This window comes from Homo sapiens, chromosome 7 (genome assembly GCF_000001405.40).
Source record: "Homo sapiens chromosome 7, GRCh38.p14 Primary Assembly".
Taxonomy (NCBI): Eukaryota; Metazoa; Chordata; class Mammalia; order Primates; family Hominidae; genus Homo; species Homo sapiens.
The window spans coordinates 152,720,326-152,737,774 of NC_000007.14; the positions used below are offsets into that span (position 1 = coordinate 152,720,326).

Below are 17,449 nucleotides of genomic sequence, written 5' to 3' on the forward strand. Positions count from 1 at the left end.
AAAATACACCAAAATTAGCTGTGCATGGTGCTGTGTGCCGGTGGTCCCAGCTACTCAGGAGCCTGAGGTGGAAGGATCACTTGAGCCTGGGAAGTTGAGGCTGCAGCGAGCCGTGATAGCAGCACTGCACTCCAGCCTGGGCGACAGAACAAGACCCTGTCTCAAACAAAACAAAACAAAACACCAACTCCGCTGGCACCACTGCCACCAGCTCCCCCAAGCCCACCTCCTTGGAATTTTAGTCCATTTAAGTCCTCATTTCCATAGCTCTCCAAGACCTTTAAAAATGTATTCTGTGGCTGGACGTGGTGGCTCACGCCTGTAATCCCAGAACTTTGGGAGGCCGAGGTGGGTGGATCACCTGAGGTCGGGAGTTTGAGACCAGCTTGACCAACATGGAGAAACCCCATCTCTACGAAAAATACAAAATTAGCCGGGCGTGGTGGCACATGCCTGTAATCCCAGCTACTCTGGAGGCTGAGGCAGGAGAATCGCTTGAACCCAGGAGGCGGAGGTTGCGGTGAGCCGACATTGCGCCATTGCACTCCAGCCTGGGCAACAAGAGTGAAACTCCATCTCAAAAAAAAAAAATGTATTTTATAATTTATCCTTTTTATCTAGGTCTTGCAGTAGAAGTGACAGCCTGCCACTACCAACAACATTCTATGCAGCTGTGAAACTCTTGTCTTTTTATCCTGCCTATTTAATATATTTTCTGGCCAACCATGGCAGCAGTTTTAATGTTTGCTTTGTGATGTGATTCTTGAGGACACATTTGGAACACATTCATGACTTGAGATGCAGGCTATAGATTAGGAGAGAAAAGGCTCTGGATTCAGAAATCCTCTTCAGAGCGAAGAAACATGAAAATATGAATGTATTACACAATTTTATAAAATACTCCCATGGAACCTTCACCAAGCTTCTTTCTACAGAATCCTGGTGAATTGGTTCACAGGGCTTGAAAGCCGCCACCTGTGTTTGAATTATATCCTAGGACTCACTTCTTCCGTGTTGGCTTCACCTGAGCCTCAGTGCTCGAGCAGTTGCCAGGGCTGTGGACTTCTCTACTCTTTTTTTTTGAGATGGAGTCTCGCTTTGTTGCCCAGGCTGGAGTGCAGTGGTGCGATCTCGGCTCACTGCAGCCTCTGCCTCCTGGGTTCAAGCAATTCTCCCACCTCAGCCTCCTGAGTAGCACGCCACCACGCCCAGCTAATTTTTGTATTTTTGGTAGAGACAGGGTTTCGCCATGTTGGCTAGGCTGGTCTTGAACTGCTGGGCCCAAGTGATTGGCCCGCCTTGGCCTCTCAGTGCTGAGATTACAGGCGTGAGCCACCGCACCTGGCCTGAGGCCTCTTTTTTTTTTTTTTTTTTTTTTTGAGACGGAGTCTGGATTCTCACTCTGTCGCCCAGGCTGGAGTGCAGTGGTGCGATCTTGGCCCACTGCAACCCCCGCCTCCTGGGTTCAAGTGATTCTCCTGCTTCAGCTTCCTGAGTTGCTGGGACTACAAGTGCCCGCCACCACAGCTGGCTAATTTTTGCATTTTTAGTAGAGACAGGGCTTCCCCATGTTGGCCAGGTTGGTCTCAAACTCCTGACCTCAGGTGATCTGCCCACCCCGGCCTCCCAAAGTGCTGGGATTACAGGCGTGAGCCACCGCGCCCGGCCTCTGAGGCCTCTTTCTAAGGGCACTAATCCCATTCATGAGACTCCACTCTCATGCCCTAATCACCTCCCAAAGGCCCCTCCTCCAAATACCATCACACTGGAGATTAGGTTTCAACACATACATTTTGGGGAGCCACAAACATTCAGACTATAGAGGCGGAGAATCTGGGATAGGCCAAGGGAGGGGGTAATGTTAGCAAGGAGAGGATTTCAAAAGGGAGGAGCAAAGATGTAAAGCAACGTTTTGCGGTGGTAGATTGCAAGGCGCACTCAGGCTGCTGAAGAGGTGAGGCTGGAGATGTAGGCAGGTCACGGAGAACTGGATCACTACTTTTTTTTTTTTTTTTTTTTTTTTTGAGACGGAGTCTCGCTCTGTCGCCCAGGCTGGAGTGCAGTGGCGGGATCTCGGCTTACTGCAAGCTCCGCCTCCCGGGTTCACGCCATTCTCCTGCCTCAGCCTCCCAAGTAGCTGGGACTACAGGCGCCCGCCACTACGCCCGGCTAATTTTTTGTATTTTTAGTAGAGACGGGGTTTCACCGTTTTAGCCGGGATGGTCTCGATCTCCTGACCTCGTGATCCGCCCGCCTCGGCCTCCCAAAGTGCTGGGATTACAGGCGTGAGCCACCGCGCCCGGCCGGATCACTACTTTTATTTTCATTTGTTTGTAGAGATGGGGTCTGGCTTTGTTGCCCAGGCTGGTCTTGAACTTCTGGCTTCAAGTGATCCCCGCATCTCGGCCTCTCAAAGCACCTAGGATCACAGGTGTGAGCTTTGGAGTGATCCTCACGTGATGAACATGATCAGATTTCAGTTTCCCCCGGAAGACAGAATGGAATTTGGGAGATTATTCAGGAGGAACATTTGCAAAAGCTAAGGTAGGAGAATGAGGGTATGAACCAAGGCTACAGCATGGAGTGGATACATAGAGAGGATATACGTATTCGGTCGGGCAAGGTCGGGCACGATGGTTCACACCTGTAATCCCAGCACTTTGGGAGGCCAAGACGGGTGGATCACCTGAGGTGGGGAGTTTGAGACCAGCCTGACAAACATGGAGAAACCCCGTCTCTACTAAAAATCCAAAAAAAAAAAAAAAATTAGCCAGGCATGGTGGCACATGCCTGTAGTCCCAGCTACTTGGGAGGTTGAGGCAGAAGAATCGCTTGAACCCGGGAGGCAAAGGTTGCAGTGAGCCAAGATAGCACCATTACACTCCAGTCTGGGCGACAAGAGCAAAATTCCATCTCATAAGGAAAAAAAAAAAAAAGATGGAAGACTAACAAGAATTGAATGTAGACTCTGGAGAAGAGTAAGGGGATGGTAAGAAAAATTATCCAAAATTGAAAGCAAGGTAAACAGGTAAACCACACAGCTCGTCAATGACATATAAGGACAAAGGTCCATCCAAGAGGGACAATTTAGGGAATATACTTTGCTCAGCCACTAGGTACTATTGATTAAAGTTCTCAGGCTCAGAGAAGTTGCCTGTAACTTAGAGATTCTTGTCTGGTAGAAATGCAGGCTGGGGGCTGTGACTGGTGCCTGTAATCCCAGCACTTTGGGAGGCCAAGTGTGGGAGGATCGCTTGAGCCCAGGAGTTCAAGATTACAGTGAGCCATGATTGTGCCACTGCACTCCAGCCTGGGAGACAGAGCAAGACCTTGTCTCTAAAAATAACCCCCCACAAAATCCAGAACCAGAAAGGCCAGGCATGGTAGCTCATGCTTGCAATCCCAGCACTTTGGGAGGCCAAGGTGGGTGGATCACCTGAGCTCAGGAGCTTGAGATCAGCTGGGCAACATGGCAAGACCTCTGTCTCTACAAAAAATACAAAAATTAGCTGAGTGTGATGGCACGCATCTGTAGTCCCACCTACACAGGAGGCTGAGGTGGGAGGATCGCTTGAGCCCAGGAGGCAGAGATTACAGTGTGCTGAGATCACACCTGTCTGGGTGACAGAGTGAAACTGGGTCTCAAAAAACAAAACAAAACCCAAAAAACAGAACAAAACAAAAAGAGATGCAAATAATTTTCATGCAGCAGAAAAGAAAACCCCAAAGGTTATGGTCTGGTGCCCTCTAGGATATTAACCAGTTTTGGATCCATCAATTTTATCCTAATATTTATTTATTAATATGATTATAAATACCTAGCTCCTCATTTGTCCTTTGAACCAGTCTTCACATCTTACTATTTTCCTCACTAATGAGTTGAATAAAATATTTGACAAGTGTTAATTTTAATTTTATTATTTATGTATTTATATTTAATTTTTTAATTTTTTTTTGAGACAGAGTTTAGCTTTTTTTGAGATGGAGTTTAACTTTTTTTTTTTTTTTTTTTGAGACAGAGTCTTGCTCTGTCGCCCAGGCGCGATCTTGGCTCACTGCAACCTACGCCTCCTGGGTTCACACCATTCTCCTGCCTCAGCCTCCCAAGTAGCTGGGACTACAGGCGCCTGCCACCACACCTGGCTTATTTTTTTATATTTTTAGTAGAGACAGGGTTTCACTGTGTTAGCCAGGATGGTCTTGATCTCCTGACCTTGTGGTCTGCCCACCTTGGCCTCCCAAAGTGCTGGGATTACAGGCGTGAGCCACCGCGCCTTGCCTGGAGTTTAATTTTCTGGAGACGGAGTTGTCCAGGCTGGAGTGCAATGGTATGATCTCAGCTCACTGCAACCTCCGCTCCCCAGGTTCAAGCAATTTTCCTGCCTCAGCCTCCCAAGTAGCTGGGATTACAGGCATGTGGCCACCATACCGGTTAATTTTGTATTTTTAGTAGAGATGGGGTTTCACCATGTTGGCCGGGGTAGTCTTGAACTCCTGACCTCAGGTGATCCACCTACCTCGGCCTCCCAAAGTGCTAGTATTACAGGCATGAGCCACCACTCCTGGCCATATTTATTTATTTTTTTGAGACAGAGTCTGCCTCTGTGGCCAAGTGCAGTGGCGTGATCTTGGCTCACTGCAACCTCTGCCTCCCAGGTTCAAGCGATTCTCCTGCCTCAGCCTCCTGAGTAGCTGAGATTATAGGCACGTGCCACCACACTCAGCTAATTTTTGTATTTTTAGTAGAGATGGGGTTTCACCATGTTGGTCAGGCTTGTCTTGAACTTCTGAACTCAAGTGATCCACCCACCTCAACCTCCCAAAGTGCTGGGATTACAGGCAGGAGCCAACGCGCCCAGCCTTGTTAAAGTTTCTAAAAACTCTGTATTAAAGGCATTTTTTTTCTTAAAAAGTGATTGTGGATTGATGGTTTAGCTTGTGATTAGGAAATATTGTACTATTTTAGTTGTGCTTTATTTACATCTATGTTAAAATTTATATTAACTAAGCAAGTCTAATTTTCCGTTTATCCACTGAAGACACTGACCAACATTAGAGTGCTTTCAATAGTTGACAGCAATCAACTTAAAAGCACAATTATGAGAATAAAGCTTGTCAATTCTTTTTAATTTTCTTCTCCAATGGAGTGTTTTGATGGCTAGGTTGAGTGAAGCAAAAGACATATATTTTGATTTTATTTGAGCATTTAAGTTTCATATTTTGAATAACACAGTCAAGCACAGCTATTAGCTATTAATTTTTTTTTTTTTTGATGCAGGGTGTCTCTTGCTCCATCTCTGAGGCTGGAGTACAGCAGTGCGTTCATGGCTCCCTGCAGCCTCTACCTTCCAGGCTAACGTGATCCTCCTGCCTCAGCCTCCTGAGTAGCTAGGAGTACACGTGTGTGCCAGCACACCCAGCTAATTTGTTTTTAATTTTTTTTTTTTTTTGTAGAGACAGAGTCTCTCCATGTTGCCCAGGCTGTGCAGCTATTAATTTACAAAAAATTTTTTAGGCCAGGTGCATTGGCTCATACCTGCAATCCCAGCACTTTGGGAGGCCAAGACAGACAGATCACTTGAGGCCAGGAGTTTGAGACAAGCCTGGCCAACAGGGTGAAACCCCGTTTGTACTAAAAATACAAAAATTAGCTGGGTGTGGTGGTGGATGCCTGTAATTCCAGCTACTTGGGAGGCTGAGGCATGAGAATTGCTTGAACCCGAGAGGTGGAGGTTGCAGTGAGCTGAGATCACGCCACTGCACTCCAGCCTGGGCTACAGAGTGAGACTCTGTCTCAAAAAAAAAAAATTTTTTTTTTTTTTTTTAGCTAAGCATGGTGGCTCACACTTGTAATCCCAGCTATTAATATTTGGGAGGTTGAGGTGGAAGAATCACTTGAGGTCAGGAGTTTAAGACCAATCTGGGCAACATAGTGACACTCTGTCTCAAAGCAAAAAAAAAAAAAATTCTTTTGAAAGCATTAAATGCCTTGGGGTACATATCATTGTACATACGATGTTATGACATCATAAAGTAGAGCGAGTACACGGTCCCTTGATAGTTCTGCATCTGGATTTTCAGGGTTACTCAGCTTATTTTTCTTCTAGTGGAGTGATATTTTAAAAATCATTAGGACTTTCACTTGAAGGTGAGCTGAGAAAAATGCAATGAAAGAAGTTAAAAATTAATCTGGTTTATTTTACTGCTTTTTAATATTTTGGAGTATAAATCATTATAATAAATGGTCAGTTAAAATAAATGATTTCTCCCTCATTGCAACTGATAGCTGAATGTGAGCTGAAAGGTTATGTACGTGCAAGCAAATGCATTCCTGGTAGAAGAAATCATTTGAGCAAAGACCTACAATTTCTTGTTCACTATTTACAGGCAGTGATGAAACCAGAAACTTTGGGAGGTCTATTTCAGGAGAAGCAGATAAGTAAGATACTTCTTGAAGGCTGGGCATGCTGTCTCACGCCTGCAATCCAGCACTTTGGGAGGCCGAGGTCGGCAGATCGCCTGAGGTCAAAAGTTTGAGACCAGCCTGGCCAACATGTTGAAACCCCATCTCTACTAAAAACACAAAAATTAGGCTGGGTATGGTGGCTCACGCCTGTAATCCCAGCACTTTGGGAGGCCGAGGGGGTTGGATCACCTGAGGTTGGGAGTTCGAGACCATCCTGACCAACGTGGAGAAACCCCGTCTCTATTAAAAATACAAAATTAGCTGGGCGTGGTGGCACATGCCCGTAATCCCAGCTACTTGGGAGGCTGAGGCAGGAAAATGGCTTGAACCTGGGAGGCAGAGGTTGCGGTGAGCCAAGATCATGCCATTGCACTCTAGCCTGGGCAACAAGTATGAAATTCTGTCTCAAAAAAAAAAAAAAAAAAAAAAAGCCGGTCATGGTGGCAGGTGCCTGTAATTCCAGCTATTTGGGAGGCTGAGGCAGGAGAATCGCTTGAGCCTGGGAGGTGGAGGTTTCAGTGAGCCGAGATCATGTCATTGAACTCCAGCCTGGGCAACACGAGTAAAACTCCGTCTCCAAAAAGAAAAGATACTACTTGAAGATCTTTGTCCACATTTTCTCCAGGTTGTTTTTTCTCCATCAGAGTAAGATGCCCATACTTCCTGTCAACGTGGTGCATTGCTGGTGGCAGTTCTGCTTTAACTCCACGCTGGAAGCTTCTAGAATGTCAAATGTTGGAGAAGCCTAGTTATTGAGGTGGCAAAGGGGAAGAGTTAATGCCAACAGGCAAATGCACTGCCTATATTTAGAAAAAGAGGAGAAGGGATGTAACCAGAGATTATAGTCCAGTCCACTTAATTTTCATTTCTAAAATGTCCAAAAAGTCACTTTAAACATATCAATTTTTTTTGTTTTTTGTTATGTTTGTTTTTTGTTTTTTTGTTTGGAGACAGGGTCTCGCTCTATCACCCAGGCTGGAGTGCAGCGGCGTGATCTCGGCTCACTGCAACCTCCGCCTCCTGGTTCAAGTGATTCTCCCACCTCAGCCTCTCCGGTAGCTGGGACTACAGGCATGTGCCACCACTCCCAGATAATTTTTGTATTTTTTGGTAGGGGCAGGGTTTCACCATGTTGGCCAGGCTGGTCTCAAATTCCTGACCTCAAGTGATCCGCCTGCCTCAGCCTCCCAGAGTGCTGGGATTACAGGAGTGAGCCACCAGACCTGGCCTCAAATGTTGGTTTTGTAAGGGACACACTTTATCAGACCAATCCCACTTTTATTCCATAATGATGATTAATTACTGGAACGGCTTGGAATAGGTATGAGGCTATTCAATTTCAGTGAATTTTTGCCTTTATATTCTGAATAGTAATATAATTACTGGTAGGTTGTGAAATATTTAGAACTTATTGATATAAGGTCGACATATACCATGAAATTTTATTATCTGGAGTTTAGTATGTGTAAGGACACACATCCCTTGCAGAAATTCTGAAGTCCAAAACAGCCCTCAAAACAAAGTTTTTTGCTCAGCATGTGGCAAACTTTTTGACTGCAAAACTTGGCTTGAAGTGATATGAGACTATTTTAGTCTTTATCCTACTTAGTGTGAAAGCCCATGTGTTTCACTGCAAAAGGATGAGCGTGATTGCTTATAAGGTGTCACTGCAGACCTTGCTGATGCGATGTAAGGGTCTCTATACGTACTGTGTTTCCTTCCCGAAGTTCAAACCATTCTGAATTCTGAAATGCAAACTACTAAAGAATATGGATAAAGCATTGTGGAAAAATATTAAATTTTTTTGGCTTTGTTATTTTTATTGTTATCTATTTTTTGGTAGAAATGGTATTGTGTTTATTTTTCGGCCTCACTATGTTGCCCAGGCTAGTCTTGAACTCGTGGGCTCAAGTGATCCTCCTGCCTTGGCCTCCCAAAGTGCTGGGGTTACAGGCATGAGCCACTGTGTCCAAACTTGTTTTTTTAAATAAAGAATTAGAAAGCACAAATAAAATTTATGAAGGACACTAAGTTTCTTTTTTTTTTTTTTTTTCCCCAAGACGGAGTCTCGCTCTGTCACCCAGGCTGGAGTGCAGTGGCGCCATCTCGGCTCACTGCAACCTCCGCCTACCGGGTTCACGCCATTCTCTTGCCTCAGCCTCCCGAGTAGCTGGGACTACAGGCGCCTGCCGCCACGCCCAGCTACTTTATTTATTTTTAGTAGAGATGGGGTTTCACCATGTTAGCCAGGATGGTCTTGATCTCCTGACCTTGTGATCCACCCACCTTGGCCTCCCAAAGTGCTGGGATTACAGGCGTGAGCCACCTCGCCCGGCCGAAAAACACTAAGTTTCTAGAGGTGGATTAGTATTCACCTCCTTTTCACTTAATAGAATTAAAGGATTTGTTAATTATTATTAAAGGCTGGGTCTCATTCTGTTGCCGAGGCTGGAGTGCAGTGGCACGATCATAGCTCACTGTAGCCTCAAACTCCCGATCCCAATGTGTCGGGAATTGGTGGGTTCTTGGTCTCACTGACTTCAAGAATGAAGCCGCGGACCCTCACGGTGAGTGTTACAGCTCTTAAGGTGGCGCGTCTGGAGTCTGTCCCTTCTGATGTTCAGATGTGTTCGGAGTTTCTTCCTTCTGGTGGGTTTGTGGTCTCGCTGGCTCAGGAGTGAAGCTGCAGACCTTCGCGGTGAGTGTTACAGCTCTTAAGGCAGCGTCTGGAGTTGTTCCTTCTTCCCGGTGGGCTCCTGGTCTTGCTGGGCTCAGGACTGAAGCTGCAGATCTTCGCGGTGAGTGTTACAGCTCATAAAAGCAGCGTGGACCCAAAGAGCCAGCAATAGCAAAATTTATTGCAAAGAGCGAAAGAACAAAGCTTCCACACAGTGGAAGGGGACCCGAGCAGGTTGCTAATGCTGGCTCCGGCAGCCTGCTTTTATTCTCTTATCTGGCCCCACCCACATCCTGCTGATTGGTAGAGCCGAGTGGCTTGTTTTGTCAGGGCGCTGATTGGTGCATTTACAATCCCTGAGCTAGATACAAAGGTTCTCCACCTCCCCATCAGATTAGTTAGATACAGAGTGTGGACACAAAGGTTCTCCAAGGCCCCACCAGAGCAGCTAGATACAGAGTGTCGATTGGTGCACTCACAAACCCTGAGCTAAACACAGGGTGCTGATTGGTGTGTTTACAAACCTTGAGCTAGATAGAGTGCCGATTGGTGTATTTACAATCCCTGAGCTAGACATAAAGTTTCTCCACGTCCTCACCAGAGCAGCTAGATACAGAGTGTTGATTGGTGCACTCACAAACCTTGAGCTAAACACAGGGTGCTGATTGGTGTGTTTACAAGCCCTGAGCTAGATATAAAGACTCTCCACGTCCCCACCAGACTCAGGAGCCCAGCTGGCTTCAGCTAGTGGATCCCGCACCGGGGCTGCAGGTGGAGCTGCCCGCCAGTCCTGCGCCGTGCGCTCGCACTCCTCAGCCCTTGGGTGGTCGATGGGACTGGGTGCCATGGAGCAGGGGGTGGTGCTCGTCGGGGAGGCTGGGGCCACACAGGAGCCCATGGAGTGGGTGGGAGGCTCAGGCATGGCGGGCTGCAGGTCCCGAGCCCTGCCCCGCGGGAAGGCAGCTAAGGCCTGGTGAGAAATCGAGCACAGCACCGGTGGGCTGGCACTGCTGGGGGACCCAGTACACCCTCCACAGCCACTGGCCCGGGTGCTAAGCCCCTCATTGCCCGGGGCCAGCAGGGCTGGCCGGTTGCTCCGAGTGCGGGGCCCGCCAAGACCACGCCCACCCGGAACTCCAGCTGGCCCGCAAGCGCCGCATGCAGCCCCGGTTGCCGCTCTCGCCTCTCCCTCCACACCTCCCTGCAAGCTGAGGGAGCCGGCTCCGGCCTTGGCCAGCCCAGAAAGGGGCTCCCACAGTGCAGCGGTGGGCCGAAGGGCTCCTCAAGTGCCGCCAAAGTGGGAGCCCAGGCAGAGGAGGCGCCGAGAGCGAGCGAGAGCTGTGAGGACTGCCAGCACGCTGTCACCTGTCACTAAGTGATCCTCTCACCTCAGCCTCCTGAGTGGCTGGGACTACAGGCATGTGCCACCAGAGCTGGCAAATTAAAACAAATTTTTTTTTGTAGAGATGAGGTCTTGCTTTGCTGCCCAGGCTCATCTTGTTTGAACTCCTGGGCTCAAGCGATCCTCCTGCCTCATCCTCCCAAAGTGCTGGGATTACAGATGTGAGCCACCCAGCCCAGCCCATAGAATTTAAAGGATTTTTAAGTAGGATCTAGTCCAACCCCTTCATTGTACAAATGAGGTAGCTGAGATCTAGGGAGGCTACGTGATTGGCTGAAGCTCCCATATTTTGAAATTGATACAGAGCCAGAACCTTCTGAATGATTTTGCAAGTCCCTGCCTATAAATAGCCCTGTCCAGCTACAGAAATAAAAATCTGTAGCCTTTAAGTGTGGTCCTGCCTAATCCCTGAGTAAAAAAAAGAGAGAAAGAGAACAAGAACAATCAAGATTCCCTTCGTCCCATAGGTGCAAAAGGATTTATTTATTTATTATGAGGAATTTGTTTTGTCACCTTCATGCCCGGGGCCTCGGGTACTGTGGTTGGGGCTGAGGTTCAGCAGCCCACAGAGCAGCCCCTTCTCAGGGGACCCTGGCCCTCAGCCTGCTTGGTTCTTGCCTGAGGCTTGGGTCACATGGGGTCTTTACAACCTGACTAGTGCCTGGCATCTTCCTCTCCCTGGAGCACTGGTCTCCAAAGTGGGGTTTATGTAAGACAATTCACGGAGGTTGCAGGAAAAACAAAGAATAATGCTTGTGACCGGGTGCAGTGGCTCACGTCTGTAATTCCAGGATTTCGGGAGGCTGAGGCCGGTGGATCATTTGAGGTCAGGAGTTCAAGACCAGCCTGGCCAACATGGTGAAACCCTGTCTCTACTAAAAATAGAAAAAATTAGCCAGGTGTAGTGGCGGGTGCCATAGTCCCAGCTACTCGGGAGGCTGAGGCAGGAGAATTGCTTGGATCCAGGAGGTGGAGGTTGCAGTGAGCCAAGATTGCACCACTGCACTCCAGCCTGGGCGACTCAGGGATTAGGCAGGACCACACTTAAAGGCTACAGATTTTTATTTCTGTAGCTGGACAGGGCTATTTATAGGCAGGGACTTGCAAAATCATTCAGAAGGTTCTGGCTCTGTATCAATTTCAAAATACGGGAGCTTCAGCCAATCACACAGCCTCCCTAGATCTCAGCTACCTCATTTGTAAAATGATTGAAACTCTGTCTCAAAAAAAAAGAATAATGCTTGTGTCTATTTTTTAAATATACAGAAATGAAACAAGGCTTTGATGATTTGTAATTGACAGATGGACACGGGTACTCTCTTGGCCATGTGCCACTGATGGAAAGTGACAAAGGATGGGTTGCTTTTGGCACCTCGCGCTGGTCAGTGGTCTGCGTGGCCTTTTATGTGTATTGTATTATCTTAAGTTGTGTGATCTTTACAAAGGTTTGTGGTGAGTTGGGAAATGACCTTGAAAATCTATACATGAGTTCATTGGGTGTTTCATTGGAAGGTACTTCCAGGAGTCTTGATATTTAGGGATGAACCATTAATTTCTCCACTTTTGTGAAGTATCATTTCTAGCCTTGCCAGCAAGGTTCAGTAATGAAAACAAGTGCAGAAGTAACTGGATTTGATACCAGCCTTCAAATAACTGTGCCATCTTGGTAAATAAAGATCTTATGAAACAGTGAAGCATAATCAATCACAAAACAACTTTTTTGTTTCATTAATACAGGAAATGGAATGAGAATTTAAAGTAATATTTGTTTCAATCTTTTACATTTTATCATTTATATATGTTTTATTTATTTATTTATTTTGAAACAGTCTCGCTCTGTCACTCAGTCTGGAGTGCAGTGTCACGATCTTGGCTTGCTGCAACCTCTGCTTCCTGGGTTCAAGCAATTCTCCTGCCTCAGCCTCCCAAGTAGCTGGGATTATAGGTGCGCACCACCATGCTCAGCTAATTTTTTATTTTTTTTTGAGACAGAGTTTTGCTCTCATTGCCCAGGCTGGAGTGCAGTGGTGTAATCTCAGTTCACTGCCTCAGCTTCCTGTGTAGCTGGGACTACAGGTGCACACCACCATGTTCAGCTAATTTTTGTATTTTTAGTAGAGGCAGGGTTTCACCACATTGGCCAGGCTGGTCTTGAACTCCTGGCCTCAAGTGATCCACCCATCTTGGTCTCCCAAAGTGCTGGGATTACAGGCGTGAGCCACCGCACCCAGCCACTTTCATTGTTTTTCTCTTGTCAACTGTAGGTAATCCCAGTGAGGACTATAAATATCACTGAATTACTATGGAGGTGGGCTGCTGCTATAGGCTGTGTGGAAATACTTTTGATGATGTGTTTGCATGTATATTTCTTGGGAGGAACTCCTGTTTAATATCCCATGATGAAATGCTGAGAATCTGCCAGGCGCTGTGGCTCACACCTTTAATCCCTGCACTTTGAGAGGCCGAGGTGGGCGGATCACCTGAGGTCTGGAGTTCGAGATGTTAGAAACAAATGCTCGTTCCTCAGTGCGGAAAAGAAGAACTAGCACTCAGACAAAGAATTTTCTCAGCAAGGCAATTTTACTTTCTGCAGAAAGGGTGCTTCTTGGAAGTCTGATTGCCATGAGAGCACCTTGAACAAAGAAAAGCAGAGGTTTTTATCCCTGCTGCATTGGGTCCTTACTGCTGTGTCCTATCTCCATTGGCTGGAGCTGGACTACACAATCTAGACTGATCCCAATGGGCTAAAAACTTAAAGCTTTCCTAAATAGGTAAATGCTCGATGGAGAACAAAGAAAGGAAAGGGGTTGTTTATGGGAAACTAGGAGAACAATAACATTTCCAAATAAGGAAGGGGTGTAGGCTGTAAGCTGGGAAATGCCTGGTCATGTTCAGACATGTCTCAGCAGGCTATAGGCCAGAACAAATAACTTGGTTAAAGTACAAGGACATAGAATGTACTTATTCCCTTGCTATATTTAACAGCTACATAGGGCTTAACAAAGAGTTATTAGTGAAAAGCAAGGAAGCTGGAAGGAAATTAGTTTTTAAAAGAAACTATTATTTCTAACAGTTATTATTTATTCTTTAACAAAAAGGGAAACTTTGAAGACGGGTGCAGTGACTCATGCCTGTAATCCCAGCACTTTGGGAGGCTGAGGCAGGCAGATCACGAGGTCAGGAGTTCTAGACCAGCCTGGCCAACATGATGAAACCCTGTCTCTACTAAAAATATAAAAATTAGCCGGGCATGGTGGCACATGCCTGTAATCCCAGCTAATCAGGAGGCTGAGGCAGGAGAATTGCTTGAACCTGGGAGGCAGAGGTTGCAGTGAGCTGAGACCATGCCACTGCACTCCAGCCTGGGTGACAGAGTGAGGCTCCGTCTCAAAAAAAAAAAAGGGGGAAACTTTGCAGAGGAACTTTTTACTTTTCACAGAGACCAGCCTGGCCAACATGGCAAAACCCTATCTCTACTAAAAGTACAAAAATTAGTGGGGCATGGCAGGTGCCTGTAATTCCAGCTGCTTGGGAGGCTGAGGCAGGAGAACCACTTGAACTCAGGAGGTAGAGGTTGCAGTGAGCGGAGATTGCACCATTGCACTCCAGCCTGGGCAACAAGAATGGAACTCCATCTCAAAAAAAAAAATAATAATAATAAAATAAATAAATAAAATGCTGAGAATCGAGGGAAGAAATAGAAGGCATTATCCAACTCTCCTGTTTTGGTGCAATCCTCCCAATTTCTTGTTGGATATTTCATTTTTCCAAGTACTCCCTCCAGGGCTTACGTGTCTGCATCCAACGCAGAGGTGGTACACAGATGGGGGATGCAGAGGTGGTACACAGAGAGGGGTGCAGAGGTGGCACAAAGAGGAGCGGCTGCCATTTACTGTGTGCTTATTAAGTGCCAGGCATGCTTTATGTCCACGTTGTTTAATCTTCACACCATTTCTATCAGGTCAGTGTTACTTCCCCTGTTTTACAGACGAAAGTATTAGGTTTCAGGGAGAATGCGGAACCTGCCCCAGGTGACTCAGCTAGTAAGTGGCAGAATTAGAACCTGAGCCCGAGTCTATTGGGCTCAAGGTCGCTGCTCTTAGTCACCACTCAGGGTGCTTCCCATGAGGACAGCACCCAGAATCGCCTTGGGGAGTGACACCCTTTGCTTCTTCCCAGGATGAATACAAGTGACTGCCACTGTCCGGCTGTTGCCGGATCGAATCCTGGATCTGCCACTTGGTATCGAAACCTGGTTCCTCTATCTATAAAATGAATGTAATGATAGTATGAATCTCACAGAGCCGTTGTGGGGATTAAATGAAATCAGCCACATCATAAAGCATTTGGCACAGGGACGAATAAGTGTTGAAAAGTATTCGCAGCTACTGTTATTGTTATTATTAAGCTCCCAACTTGAACGTGCACTGAGTTCCAAAAGTTCCTTTTACATTCGTTGTTTGAACTCAGAACACATTTACCCATGTAAAGGATGCTAAACATCCTATTTAATTACCGATAAATACTAGGATAACGTAGCTTACAGGGTGCTGATTGGCTTGGATATGCGTCCTACAAGCTGGGCAATGCTGGATGGGGAGAAGGACCAGCTGGAACCAGTTGTACACGAGGACTTTTCTCCTTAGGAGGCCGAGTCCAAGAGCCCTCCAGCTGCCTCAAGCCCTCCATTCTAAAGGAGATTTTCTGCTTCAAAAATTATCCTCTTCCTGCAGTAGTAATTAAATTTTCAGTGCTTCTGGCGGTTGTTCAAACCTTAAAAAAATAAACAGCCCCTCGCCCTGCGTGCCTTGCATGGAAACTCCCATTTCCTCAGTCCCTGGCTCAGGAAGCCAGCATTCATTTATAAGATCTGGGAATGCCCTGTGCCCCTTAACCTTCCCAAAGTTGTTGATGTTTGTAAGGAGTGGGATCCAGAGTTTCAGGAGTGACGCAGAGAGCTGTCCCAGCATCTGCAGCGTGGATGTTGGCCATGCCCTTCTTATAAAGCTGCCGTGACAATGCTGGTTTCCTCAGGCAGGTTCTCCGCCCCTCCTCTTTGCTCATGTGACACTTTGCTGCTGGAAGGTGCTTTGAGGCAGACCAGCTATCCCTGGAGGGTCACCTGGAGGATCAGCTCTCTTAAGCTGGTCTTTCTTCATCCCTGCTTTCCTTCTTCTGTTTCTTGAGCCAGTTTTTCTAAGAGCCCCTGGATTTTTTTTTTTTTTTTTGAGACACAGTTTTGCTCTTTGTTGCCCAGGCTGGAGTGCAGTGGCACAATCTTGGCTCACTGCAACCTCCGCCTCCCAGGTTCAAGTGATTCTCCTGCCTCAGCCTCCAGAGTAGCTGGGATTACAGGCATGCGCCACCACGCCTGGCTAACTTTGTATTTTTAGTAGAGATGGGGTTTCTCCATGTTGGTCAGGCTGATCTCCAACTCTCAACCTCAGGTGATCCGCCCACCTTGGCTCCTACAGTGCTAGGATTACAGGCGTGAGGCCACCGTGCCTGGCCCAAGAGCCCCTGGATTTTTTTTTGGAGGAGAGCCCCTCAAAGAAAGATAAAGGGGCTCTTAGAAAAACTGGGAGTGTGTGGGGACGGACCTCTGGCAGGGTCTGGGCTTGCTGAGGACTCAGTCAAGGTTATCTATGCCTTGCGGGGCTCAAAGGCGTCTTCAAACCAGTGACAGAACGTGTGGGTTACGGTCAACCAATGCCTAAGGGGCGCATTGGCCAAGCCAAAAACTGCGACGCATATTCTGACAAGTACAAATAAATTTATGGGGACAATGGGACCGAATAATTGAAACCGGGATGAAAGCCAAAGTCACGCAGCTGCCAGAGCTGGGCAGAGCACTGGGAAGAGGGGACGAGTTCTGACATTTCTATATCCCTGTGTCAGAGACAGAGACAGACAGGAATCAGCCGGACTTGCCACACCCCTTCCAGACACTAGCAAGGCCCAGCAAGGCCCGTCGCCGTCCCGCAGTGAAGAGCGCCTGACCTCTTGGCTCCGCAGCTGCCTCTTGAGCATCTCTCCAGGCAAATCCCAGCAGCTCTTCGAAGGACAAGTCTGTCTGATCTTTCTTTCTTTTTTCTTTTTTTGGTTTGTTTTTTTGAGATGGAGTCTAGCCCTGTCGCCCAGGCTGGAGTGCAGTGGCGTGGTCTTCGGTCACTGCAACCTCTGCCTCCCAGGTTCAAGCGATTCTCCTGCCTCAGCCTCCCGAGTAGCTGGATTATAGGCACAGCCACCATGCCTGGCTAATTTTTGTATTTTTAGTAGAGACCAGGTTTCACCATGTTGGTCCGGCTGGTCTCCAACTCCTGACCTCAGGTGATCCGCCCACCTTGGCCTCCCAAAGTGCTGGCATTACAGGCATGAGCCACTGCGCCCAGCCTGGTCCTTCATTCATCTCAGCTCATAGCTCCGCCGTGCGCAGAGCCATCCAAGCTACAAACAATGATTATTTTGTCTTCTTTACTTAAAAACATCCAACCGGTCCCTGAGACATTTTATTTCTACCTCTGACATGTCTTTTCTATTATTGTTGCCATCACAATATTCTTTTTTGTTTGTTTGTTTGTTTGTTTTTTTGAAACGGAGTCTCACTGTGTTGCCCAGGCTGGAGTGCAATGGCGTGATCTTGGCTCATTGCAACCTATGCCTCCCGGGATCAAGCGATTTTCCTGCCTCAACCTCCCGAGTAGCTGGGATTACAGGCGTGCACCACCATGCCTGGCTAATTTTTATATTTCTAGTAAAGACAGGTTTTCACCATGTTGGCCAGGCTGGTCTCGAACTCCTGACCTGAGGCGATCCGCCCACCTCAGCCTCCCAAATTGCTGAGATTACAGGTGTGAGCCACCATGCCCAGCTGCCATCACAATACTCTATTCGAGCCACCTCA

The 17,449-nt window shown here is 47.2% G+C and overlaps 1 annotated feature.

Annotated features, from left to right (window-relative positions):
* Positions 13,062–14,261: an enhancer, noted in NCBI's record as "MED14-independent group 3 enhancer chr7:152430472-152431671 (GRCh37/hg19 assembly coordinates)". NCBI's record gives its function as "activates an origin of replication core promoter dependent on BRD2, BRD4, P300/CBP and CDK7 cofactors, and independent of MED14, by STARR-seq in HCT116 cells {active_cell/tissue: HCT116}" and the evidence as "EXISTENCE:reporter gene assay evidence [ECO:0000049][PMID:35650434]".